General features: G+C 47.2%; 1 protein-coding gene across 1 annotated transcript in view; it reads left to right on the top strand.

Moving 5' to 3' along the window:
• Window positions 1–12,784, top strand: part of FSTL4 (follistatin like 4) — a 645,613-nt gene that overhangs the window by 23,085 nt on the left and 609,744 nt on the right. The gene's annotated exons all lie outside the window — the stretch shown is intronic.

Genomic DNA, 12,784 nt, shown 5'->3' with positions numbered 1-12,784 from the left:
GTGTGTGTGTGCATGCGTACGTGTGTGTGTGTGTACATATATATATATATAGTATCTTCTAAAACATCTTCTCCTGGACTTTGTTGGAAGAGAAGGGCTGGGTGGGGGGCTTTAAGCTGAGTCCTTGTCTGAGATGAGTGAGGTTCTTTTGTGCTCAGAACTGTGGTACAATTCATCCTCAAAAAGGAATCTGAATTGAAAGGGGATTTGGTGTGAGGCAGGGGAAGGTGTAGGGGTGCATAGATCTGTTCATTAGGGCAGATTAAAGTCAAGCCTCCCCTGAAATTGGTGGAAAGTGCTTGCAGCCCTCTGTGGTTTGGAAGATTATGCAGCTATCACAATGCACTTCGTGAGTAGGCTGTGGGGGCTGGATTTAATTTTATGTCCGCCGGGAGATTCTGGCAGTGTGTTTCTGTGGTGGGGAATCATTATTTACAATGAAACACTTACACAGAAGTAGTAAAGTTAATGGAGGTTTCAGTGGAATTAGCCTTGTTAAGTTCCCCAGTGACACAGCCGGCTCCCCTCTCCAGTAGCTGGATCCAGCAAGGAGGCAGCACACAGAGCTAGTGGAGTTTAGGATGTGGATGAAATTGGGAGTGACCCAAAGCAGCAAGACCCAGGCCTTCAGTACTGGCCTGCAGCTGGGCTCTGTGATGGGGCTGCTTCTCTGGCCAACAGCCCCTGCATGGCCATGCTGTGTGTTCCCAGTCCTGGCAGCTCCTTGCAGAGTAAATGCTGTTAATCCACGGCCCATTGTTGACTCTTGCTGCTGCTATCAGAATTTCTGGGACCTGGAGCATGCTGAGGGCTGTGATGAGGTAAGATGTGATTCATCCCCGTGCTCACGTTCCCTAAAGGGGTGACAAGGCTGCACCACGTGGAAGGAGAGTCATTCAGGTGGGCCACATGCCATGAGATTCTTGGATCGAAGTTCTCTTGGATAAGGTTGCCATGTTTACTCCCAGTTCCCTGGCTTAGGAGCCAGGCAGATATGGGTTTGAATCCAGATTCTACTGGATGACCTTGAACATGTCATGTGTATTCTCAAGATTCATTTTCTTTATCTTTAAAATGGGGCCACTGTTTTTGCTGGCATCATAGGTTGTTAGGAGGATGATGTGACTTAGGGTATGGAAAGCACTTAGTACTGTGCCAGGTCATGCTGTTTCTTTATTCTCTGTCCCAGCTTTCACCTGCCCCTCCATACTCTGTATTTCTGGGCCAGAACACCCACAGACTGCATTTTCTGGGCTCCCTTTCCAGGTGGCTCCCTGCCAAGTTCTGCCCATGGGAGGTCAGAGGGCTGGAAGAGAGAAGAGCCTTCCTTCTTCCTCATTCTCTTGCTCTTTGTCTTCTTCTTCTAGGGGTGTCTCCGAGGCAGGGGCAGCTGTGGCCCTTCCTCCATGCTGCCAGCTCCTGGGACAGAAGCCGGTCCTCTTACACTTCAGGTCTAGGTCACATTATCTCTTGCCTTTGTGACTCCCAGCCCTTGGGGAGATATTGGCTTCCTGCATTACCTAATCTTTGGTCACCCTATCTTCCTTCTTACTGTCACCACACCTGGTAAGCAATTCACTATGTGAAAGCTCCTCTATTTGAAGGACCTAGAATGGCTTCTGTTTCCTTGACCGGACTGTGACTGATACAGTGGAACTCCCATTAGTTATAACAAGTGCATGGCCTTGGAGTCAGACAAGACAAGGTTTGCACACCCTGGCTCCACTCCTTACTTGCAGTGTGACCTGAGCCTCTGTGTTTGCATCCATTAAATGGGGACGATAATAGACTCAGCTTCGCAGGGCTGTCGCGAGGATTTAAAAAGATAACAATAGAAGTGAAAAGCTTAACACAGCGGGGTAGTGAACATCAACACATGAGAGTTTGTTTCTAGATGTGTGTGTTGCTTTCTCAGGTTGGCCCAGGAGTGTTGGGGATGCCACTGGGAAGGGCAAGTGAGGCAGTGGGCCTGGGCCTGGGTATCTGTGGGCAGCAAGGAGCCATGGGAGGCTTGAATGGGGGCTGCCTGGAGTACAGCAGTCTTTACACCCCTGATCTCCCTGCCGCTTCCTCCCAGTTTGGTTCAGAGCTTCAGCTAAGCAGCAGAGGCTAGGCCCTCCCTGGGGCCACCTGGTGCCATGACTTTTTCCCCAAGTCTCCAGAGCTCAGGTAAGAGAGGAAGGGTCAGTGCCTCAATCTGAAGAGTTGCTGGCAGTGTGGCTTTTAAAATCTACTTATTCATTTCACCTAATTAGCCAATGACCTCAAACAAACCTATAATGTTATTTTCCCCTCAGAATGACACTCGTGGGGTTTGGAGAGCTACAATATTTTATCTGTTACTCAATGGCCAAACCTCTCAGCACTTGCTCGCTTAGACACTCTAGTGGGGATTGGTGGTGTTGGCCTCACCTGGGGGTTATCTGGGAGTTGCAGGGCCTGGGAGCCGATCGATGTGCCATCCTTCAGGCTTCTGTGGAGTGACAGGTCAGCATCTCCATTGTAAATGGCTTTCCCTGGGCTTTTCATCTCTAGGAGGGAAGAGTCGTGCTGAGCAAACCAGGACTGTGCAAACTTTGGAAGGATCCGAATCAGCAGAGACAACCTGCATCCTAAGCAGGTCACCTGGACAGTGTAGACTGCCCACCTGACTCCACACTGTCAGACCCTGCCTTTTCCCAGGTGGTCCTGGAGAGCTGGAGCTGGGAACCATGTATTTGGAGTAGCTCCAGCAGCCCAGAGTGCAAGGCCTCCACTCTACCATGTGCCCTCACTGCAGGGAGCCCACTTGCCTCACAAGCGTCCTCACCTTCAGATAGGTCAGCTTCCAGGGTGCTCAGTATGGCCCCCTAGTCTTTGGCTACTTCACTCAGGTCTCCTCTCCATGAATGAAGATCCTACTTGTTCTGTAAGGCTCTAAGGAACCTTCCCTGGCTGTCCAGAGCCCGCTTAACTCTATCCTTCTTGTCTTCCTCTGTATTGTATAATAGACATGTCATTATGTTTTGCTTTAAATGATTCTCCAGGTCTTTGTAAATGTCAGGCTGGAGTGTCTTTGTTGGTCTGTATAATGCATGGGATTGCCTGGTCAACCCTACGGGAATCTGGACTTCCTTTTGGGGCCCTGGGTACAATTCTGGGTACTTGTATCAAGAAGCCAGAGCTTTTAGGGTATTGCTGTGTGGGCCAATCACCTAAACTTTCCCGCCTGTGGATAAGGGAAAACTATACACCAAACATTTTCAGACCTGACTTTGTGCCAGAAACACTTGGGGGAAAATATTTAAAAATACGATTCCCAAACCGTACCCCTAATATTCTGCTTTAGTAGATTTGGAGGAAGGGCCTGGGGATGTGTATTTTGAAACCAGATTCCCCCAGGTAATTCTGATCTCCAGTGTGCGAACCCTGGCACATGAGCCAGCCAATTACCCTTACCACTGTGCCACATCTTACATTTCTGAGGACAGTCGTATTTCGAGCATTCTGTTTCATTGCTCCCATAAACCACGGAAATAGTCCAGAAAGCCTCAGGCTTTTTACCCAACGTGAATCTCTCAGGCCACCTCTCAAACATAAATCAGGCAGGAGGCATTGTCCAGACCTCAGGTCCTGAGTTAGGAAATGGAAACTGCACCCTTCCCAGAAAAATCATCATGAAGCCTTTGATTTATAATTCTCTTATCTAAGATTTGGAAGCTACTTTAGCCAAATAGTTCAAGAATCTCCTCTGCTCTAGTTATTCCCTGCAAGACCCCTTCCAGCTACAGGAGCTCACTCTTTTGCCATGTTGATGACTCCAAGAGCAGCCTGACCTGTTAGAATCTTCTTCATTAGAGGATCAGTATCCATATCTCTGTCCTTTTAGGCCACGGGTCTTATCCTAGAGTGGTGGTTTTCAACCCTGGCTGTACCACAAAATCACATATTGATACCCAGACCTCTTGCACTGAGATTTGGATTCAGTTGTTCTGTGGTGAGGCCCTGGGCTTGGTTCTGATGCGAGCTGGATTTGAGAAGCCCCTGGAACAAGCCATGTAGCTCACATGCATGTGTGCAGTATGAGAGGAAACAAATTGGAGCACAATTTGAGAAAATATAAACACTTAGGGCACAGTTTAGAACTTCCCTTACTACACTCTAGTTATTTCTCATCACTGAGTTGTCTTACTCCATTTTCCAGATAATTTTAAACATCTTTCTCATTGTTGCAATTTGTTTCAAAATGACACTGACGGTGGCCACCCTCTGATCCCTGCTTGCTGACTGGACAGACTTCCGCTCTCAACATAGTTGTTTGGTTTACTGCTTGCCTTTAATGCTGCTTTTCACCATCTGTGCCTTCTCTGGCCCTTATTTTTTTGTGAGGGCAAGATTAACTTTCTGGTCCACTAAGTCATCTGAACCTTTTCTCTCCAGAACACCAAAAGAAAGGAGTAGGAGGAAGTCTGCAGCCATCCCTTGTGTTTTTCTCCATCATCTTATTTCCAGTGTGACCTAGCTCCCGGGCTGGGTGGTGTCACTCTCTGCTGTGATGTGTCAGGGGCACTGGTGTGGAATACAGATTATCCACCAACACCCTCCAGCCACACCCAGGGACTCCTGCCCGATTCAGTTTCCAAGACAGGAACGTGCTTGTTATGCTGAGCACTGGAAGACGGCTTTTCACATTCCACGTGGCTTCCGTGCAACCTCCAACCGGAGGATGCACATCCTGCCCAGTTCCTCCCTTTCTCCTCCCCAGAACCTTGCACGAAGACCCAGCCAGCCCTCAGGAAAAACTCACTGCATCAAATTCAGTTAAATTTCTCACTCTTCCCACATTGGATCCACCCAAAGAGGCAAGCCTGAGAAGTATTAGTGTCAGGTTTTGTGTTCTTACTTCAGCAGGCTGTTGCTGTCCTTGTTGGTGACAGTCCCTGGTTTCCCAGCCCCCGTTGCCTGGTGTTTAGCCCAGTACAATTAGCGAGTTGTAGGAGTCAGGGGAGAGATTTGTTAATATGAAGGTGTATGATTCCTACACATGCTCAGATTTCCAAATAAGCATATTGTCTCTTTGCAATGGAGTTGCTCTCACCCTGTGCAACTGGTTTATAGGATTCATTAATTCTGCTATTAGAAGCAGATCCCTATTAAAGTCAGTTAATAAACTATAATAGTCTCTCAGTGAACTCAAAGCCAGGAAATATAGGAGCCTGATGGTAGCAATGCCATGGGGATGGGGAGAAACACTGCTTCTGTTTTTTGGCAGGGAAGGGCTGGTGCCCATTATTTACACATGCAGCAAATTTAAGGCATGCCAAAGGAAAGTATTGCAAAAATGTAGGGGAAAAGAAGAAAAATCAGTGCAGCCTTTGTGTTTTAGTCTTATGGCAAGAAAACCTGCATTGTGTAAAAAGATTAAACATATGAGAACAAAATGAATCCTACATTTGACATTATGCTTTCCTCAAATCTACATGTGTGAAGCTTGGTTATTTTAGGTCCCCACAGTTCAATATAGCAGCCATTAGCCGCATGTAACTACTGAGCCTGTAAAATGTGACTAGTCCAAATTGAGATGTTCAATGTGTATAAAGTACACTTGGGTGTTTGAAGCCTTGGTACCAAGAAAAGTGAAATATTCAATAAAATTTGTATATTGATGAAATTATACTATTTTTATTATTTGTCTGAAGCAATGAAAAATTGCAATATTTCAGATATGTTACGTTAAGTAAAATGTATTATTGAAATTTATTTCACGTTTATTTTTTTCTTTTTAAAAATGTGTCCACAGGACAATTCCAAGCTACATACGTGGCTTTCATTTCTGTAGGACAGTGTGGAGGAGAGTGGACTCTCCTCCATTGGACAGGAGGCTGCTGACTTCTGGAGATGAGTGTGGGCATGTGGTTGAGAAACTCACTGGCCCATATTAGCCTCTCCTTTGCCAGAGTCTGTTCTTCCTGGAAAGCCAATCAACAGAATGTTAACACGATGGCCAAAGGGAGCCATCTTCCACTGAACTGTCTTTTGGAAACCTCAGCCCAGTTTATGTTTTTTCTTCGTTCAGAGCAGAAGTGCTACCATGAAGGAAGCAGCCGAGCCCCCAGGTCATAGAGTTGGGAAATATTCAACAATCATGAATGTACTAAGCATCTCCCAAGTGCTAGGCACTTTCCTGAGCACTGGGATGCAGTGGTGGACGAGGCAGGTAAGCTCCTACACCCCTGGAGCTTACATTCTGTAGTGGAGGCAGACAATAAACAGGTATGTAAATAAATGAACAAGATGCCTTTAGGCAGTGATAGCTGCATGGATGTAAAATAAAGTGGGGACACTGAGTAGAAAATGATGGGGGATGGAGTGGGGACCTTAAACTGGATTGTCTAGGAAAGCCTCTCTGAGGAGATGATACTTGAGTTGAGATTTGAATGACAAGAAGAAGCCCATCATGCAGAAATGTGAAAAATCAATGTTTTAGGTAGAGGGATCAGCTGGTGCAAAGGCCCTAAGGCTTCACCAAGCCTGGTGTGTTTGAGAACCAGAAGGAAGACCCATAGGAAGGGTGTGATAGGAACTGGGGATGGAGAAGTGTCAGGGGACAGATCATGGGGGAACTTGTAGCCATGGTAAGGGGTTCCGATTTTAGTCTGAGACTCTGGGAACCCTGCAGGGTTTCAATCTGGGAGTGATGTGACCACTCTGGCCCCTTAGTGGAGGGTGGACCACAGAGGTGCAAGTCTGGAAGCAGGAAGACCACTGAAGAGGGTCCTCCCAGGCAAGACATGGTAGTAAGTGAACAAGGATGACGCAGTGGAAGTGGAAAGAGGTGGTTGAATTCAAGATTTATTTTGGAGGTAGAGCTGTGTGGAGTGGCTGATTATTCGGCTGTGGAATATGAGGGAAAGAGAGGCATATGGACGATGCCTAGATGTTTATCCTGAGCAGCTGGATACTTGAATGATGGTGTCCTTTACTGAGATGAAGAGGCCTGGGTGGGGGAAATGAATTCTGCAACAGGTGGGAATTAAGAGGGTTATTAAGAGTGCAGTTTCAGACATGTTGAGCTAAAGCTTACATTAGACATTCCAAGTGAAGACAAGGAGGAGGGTCTTGAGTCTATGACCCAGGATACAGCTCAGAGGAAAGGTCTGGGCCTGTGATAGAAACAAGGAAGCCATGGGCACCTATGTGACATTTACAACTGCAGATCTGGATGGGCTCCCCAGGGGTGTGAGGGTAGATGGGGAATGGCAGAGTTCTGGAAACCTGAGGCTTTAGGGCCTTCCCATATTTAGAGGCTGAGCAGGGAAAGAGAACAGCAAAGGTGAAGGTAAACTTGATTAAAAGTACAGAAGCCAAACCAGAAAAAGTCTAAAACTCCTTAGCCCTGTGTGGTGTCAGGCATGAACTGTCAGTTTTTGGCCTTTTGCTGATTTGTGTTTGAGGAATTCTCAGGCCCAAGGCGGCTCAGGGTTGGGTGTGTAAGACATGCTTCTTGGGGATGCCTCGGGCAGCAGTCCTGCTGGCTGAGTCCCAGGGTGTACCCAGGATGCTGGGAGCTTTTGTTCAGGATAGGATTTTAGACACCCATTTATGAGAGCAATCTAGGAAGGCTGCATGGAAGAGGCAAGTCCTGAGCAAGCCTTGAAGGGCAGGGAGAATAAAGATATGAAAGGGCCCCCTAGGTATGAAACCAAACCTTGAGGTGGAAGTAGCTCAAAGTGCTCGGGGGAAGTGGTGAAGAGGAAAGGGATTATGAAGAGGTCTAGGGTAAGTGTGACAGCTTGCTAATTGTCTATATCAGAACTCAATAACCTTTGTTTTTTCTTCAAAAGTAGAGGTTTTGTTTGGGTGCATAAGGGAAATAGAGCTGGACAGGCCCACGACTGCCTGCTTGGAAATAATGCACTTTTGAGGAGTGGAATTGATATAGGACTTAAGAAATTATTTAGGCAGATAGTGACGGTATGGGAGCCCCTGGTAAGGTTTTCCTTTTAACGAAAAGCAGCCCCCAAATAATTTTCTTTTCTAACAAAAAGCAGCCTGTAAAATCGAGCTGCAAGCATAGACAAGCAAGCTGGAAGCTTGCGCAGGTGAATGCCAGCAGTTGTGCCAATAAGAGAAGACTACCTGGGACTAGGTGTGTTCAAAATGGTGGCTTCATCTTCCCTTCTCTTTGCCAGTCACATGTGCAGTGAGGAACAGGCAACATGGTGCTGGCCGGGCAAAGACCCCATTTGCATAATAAGGTTAGGTGGGGCAGTCAGTTTCCCCACATTTTATGTAAACGTCACACCTGGTCCAACGAATCTTTGGGCCCTATGTAAATCAGACACTGCCTCCTCAAGCCTGTCTATAAAATCTGGTGCACTCCGCTGTGGGCCAGAATTCCCACTTGGGCGCCCCTTTCTCTCTCGCAGGAGAGAGAGATATTCTTCTTTCTCTTTCTTTTGCTTGTTAAACCCCTGCTCCTAAACTCATGCCTTGTATGTGTCCCTGTCCTTAATTTTCTTGGCATGAGACAATGGACCTTGGATATTACCACAGACAACAACGCAGCTTCAGAATGATGAGATAAAGGTGGTGTTTGAGGCTGATTAATTTGGCATGAGGCAATGGGAAAGGCAACTGAATTTTCGAAATGCAAATCCTGTAGCCATCATGTCTGGAGAGCTGGACACAGGCTCCTGGGAAGGCTGTGCCAGAAGAACTGGAGGATTCTGATAGCCTGGAAGTTCTGGGCCAGCCCCCAGGTGTCATTTGTAAGAGGGGCAACCCTAGTAGTTAGTGGTGGCTCCAGGAGTCAGATCCTCAAAAGCCAGAAGATCTGCATGGGCAGGTTTTATGCAGAGGAGGTCCTTAGGTGTCATTCCCAGGCTCTCCCTGCTGTCAAGAATGAGCCGAGTCTGTGGCACATGTGGCAGTCTTTGAAAGAGACTTACAGCCTTGAAGCACCTGTCCCGCCTATCAGTGCATTGCTCCTCTTTGTGTAATTGTGTATTGAATGTCTATATCCCAAGCTGAGCCAGAATGCCTTGAGGGCAGCCCTGGTCTGCCTTTGTGCATCATGATATTCCCAGACCCCTGCACCAGGCCTGGAAAATAGCAGGTGCTCAATTAATGTCTCTGGACTGGTTGGAAGGCAGTGGTGTCCTCCTGGTCTGGACTGTCAGGCTGGGAAGACCTCACACAGAAGAAGAAGTCATACCTTCCAGTTTCCATGCAGCCTCTAACAGCTGTGGGACGCATGGCATTGGCAGCTTCAGGTATAGTCCTCACACTGGTCCTTACTCCTTCCTTCTGTCTCTGTGAACTAGTCTCATCTGGCCACATGGTAGTTTGGGATTTATTTCTATATGATGTTCTTTTTTTCTTTTTTTTTTTTCCATTTTTGGTGCTATCCTGACTTGGGGGGTGGACTTTATTTCTTGGAGCTTTTGAAACCCCAGATCTTGTTTGTTGAGACCAATTCTACTGAAAGTGGGGTGCAGGCCCAGGAGGGGATGCTGGGACACACCAGACTGAGAGCTTTGGGGGTAGCAAAAGATACTCCTGCACTCCTCTGTCTGCCACACCATCTTCAGCAACCACATTACCCTCTGAGGTCTTTTTTTTTTTTTTTTTTTTTTGAGACAGTGTCTCCCTCTGTCACCCAGGCTGGAGTGCAGTGGTGCGATCTCTGCCCACTGCACCTCCACCTCCTGGGTTCAAGCAATTCTCCTGCCTCAGACTCCTGAGTAGCTGGGATTATAGGCATGCACCACCATGCCCAGCTAATTTTTTGTATTTTTAGTAGAGATGGGGTTTCACCATGTTGGCCAGGCCGGTCTCGAACCCCTGACCTCAAGTGATCCACCCATCTTGGCCTCCCAAGATGCTAGGATTACAGGCGTGAGCCACCGCACCTGGCCTGAGGTCCTCTTATTATACCTACCACTAGGAAATGGCCCTCTTTTCTCTGGCTCTTATACTCAAGTTCACACAACCTGTCCAAAAGAACTGCCCTTGAAGTGAGCAGATTGAGCTGCTAGTGACCACACGTCCTGACAGTCCTGGTGGTTCACTGAATTCCTTTTTCTATTCTATTTTCCAGGTTCAGTTGTGTTTTGTTTGTGTGCGGGGGCGGTGGGGGGTGGCGGGGGGCGGGGAGTGAGTGAAGGGTACATTTGCCCTTTGTGGTGTTTGGGTTTTCAGGTTGGCTCTGGGTTTTTCCATCTTCTCCTCCAGCACAGAAGCATGGAGGGGCAGCTGAGTGCAATCCCAGCTGGCTTGTTCCCGGATGTCCTCTTTCACTGACTTTGGGGGAGATGTGAGGGAAAATATTTCGGAAGGCTCAGTTTCACCATCAGGCTTTCAAAGTCATCCTGAAGGAAACAAGCCAAGATAGCATACTTAACTTTTCTCTTTAATTTTTTGATTTTATTTTTAATACTGCGAAGTTCACACTGAAGTCCCTTAACATCTGGACTTCCAGCTGCGGGTGTTCTCCTCAGTTCCTGCTTCACACTAGCCCTCAAGCCTGGGTGGGTTTGAGGACAAGATGACAAGAGTCATGTCTGGTAGCAGTTAATTGGCTTGGACCATCAGGACTGGAGATTGAGCATCACCAGATGTGCCCCAGATTGAACAACATGGCTTCGCTCCTTTGAGCCTGCTCTGTCCTGGGACACTCTCCTCCTCTGTTCTCCCTGGGTCTAGCCCCGAGGGCTCCACGAGCTCTCAGCACCCTGGCTACTTAGAAAAGCCACATGTTGTGTTCTGTTAGAGATGCACTATGTCTTAAAGATGCATTCTAGTTTGCAGTGACAACTTTGATAGAAGTTTAAATTCTGGGGAAAAATAAAATATTTGACTATATTAAAAAGTAAAGCCTCAGTGGAGGATTTCACATTTCATGCCTTAGAAACGTGAAGTTCTCTGTGTAATCTAACAAGGATCTATTGCAGGTCGTGCAGATGAACTCCCCTTTTTTTAAGGAGTTCATAGTGCTTGGTGGGTAGAGACAGAAGCAGAAAAAATCCAAGGCAGCAGAAGGCAGTGTCCGAGTGCCTGGGAAGCTGAGCGCAGGAAGTCTAGGGCAGGGAGGATTCAGGCTGGAAATCAAGGAGGTTCTCCCAGAAGGCACCATCGTAAGCGTGAGGAGAAGACACTGTCTCTACCATCAGGGACAAGATTCACTCATAAGTTAAGCTGTCTAGATGTGTGACTTGGGTCTCCCTTAGTTCCATTTGGATTTTGCGGTGAGAGGACATGACCCACTGGCCGTCTCAGCTTCAAGAGATAACCCTGTGGTTCTCCCTGCCCTATCCTGTTTACCAAAGACCTCTTGGTTTCCAGGGCGTTGCCTCAACGGCCCACATACCTACAGCTCTTTGCTGGTTACAGAGCATCCTCACTGACTATCAGAGGCACAATTCAGCTGGTGGAAAGAGAGGGAACAGAGTTCCAAGGGAGAGCAGCATGACAGGCTTCCTGAAATTTGAGTACCCTCCTGTGCTGTTAAACATCTGTTTGCAGAACATCCTCTTTGATTAAGCCATTTGTCCTCCGTTTAAAGTATGAGGAGCCCCCTTGACCCCATATAAGCTGGTCATAAAAGAATGTTTTAAGAAAAAACTCTCTGAAGTAGAATTCTATTTACAGAAATGGAGTTTGAACACAGTCTCCCTATATAGCACTGGGTGAGGTGAGTGACACTCAAGGGGTCATGCTTGCATTTTGAAAGCAGCCACTTGCCTTTGAGGCACAAAGCATTTTAGCTACAGTAAGTAAATATTAGCCCTGGCTGGCTGGGAGATTGAGGAACAGAGAGGAGAGATGTATATTTTCTTCCTAGCCTCCTCTTCTGACCCAGCAGACCGCTTAATGTGAAGAGGCTGTTTAACAACAAAAGGAATTGTGCTATTGTTGTAAGGAGGAACTTTGAGGTTGCTGGAATGCTCATGAATATCCATGAAACTTATGCATATTCATAGCATGTGGGCGTGATTGACAGTCCACACCTGAAATGTTCCCTGGAGCATCCTCATAAGTCCTTTCAGTCATGATTATGGGCATCGCCCTGACTAGGTGGGCTCTGCAAAGACTGGGCTCCCTTAGGTGGCATTTGCCTGGAGGATCATCTGGGGTACTTGTCTTTCCATTTATGCGGAGCAGGGTGCCCCCCTCCAGGTTGCTCCGAGTCCTGCTTCAGAAAATAAGCAGTTATGGGGCAGCATAGTTGGTACCAGAAGCTAATACCAGTAATTGGTACCAGTAGCCACCCAGCAGCACTCAGGCAGTTCTCAGGGGCAGGGGCACTTCCTATCCTCCATCCGCTCAGCTCTGGGCCGAGGCCCCTGAACGTCGAGCTCAGGAAAGGTTTGTTCCTGTTACTGTGCATCAGCAACCCAGTTTGGGCTGCATTAATAAGAACAAGTTGGCAAGAGGTGGCCAAACCTGTGAATTAGATGCAGAGCTTTCTGCGGGATAGAAGAACAAATAATCAGGACAAAATATACTGTGATAAGGAGGCCTGCCCTTTTGTTTACTGACATGCATCTCTGCTCATGCTATTTAAAAAATGACTATTTCATTTGCAAGGTGATAAAAGAATGAATGGAAATTTACCTATGAGCACCTCTGTAATTGAGTGCCTATCTGCAGGATGAATAGTGGAAGGAAATTATCTACCATGGGCCAACTCTCTGCTTTCCTAGGACTGTGCATTCTATTCTTCCTGTTCAGTGGAGGACGTTGTCTACTCCACCAAATTAACCAAACACAGATAATGTTGTCAAAGAACGACTCCATTAGA

The sequence above is a fragment of the Homo sapiens genome, chromosome 5 (assembly GCF_000001405.40).
Source record: "Homo sapiens chromosome 5, GRCh38.p14 Primary Assembly".
NCBI lineage: Eukaryota > Metazoa > Chordata > Mammalia > Primates > Hominidae > Homo > Homo sapiens.
Note: the sequence above shows the minus strand (reverse complement) of the source record. Positions and strands in the feature narration are given on the sequence as shown.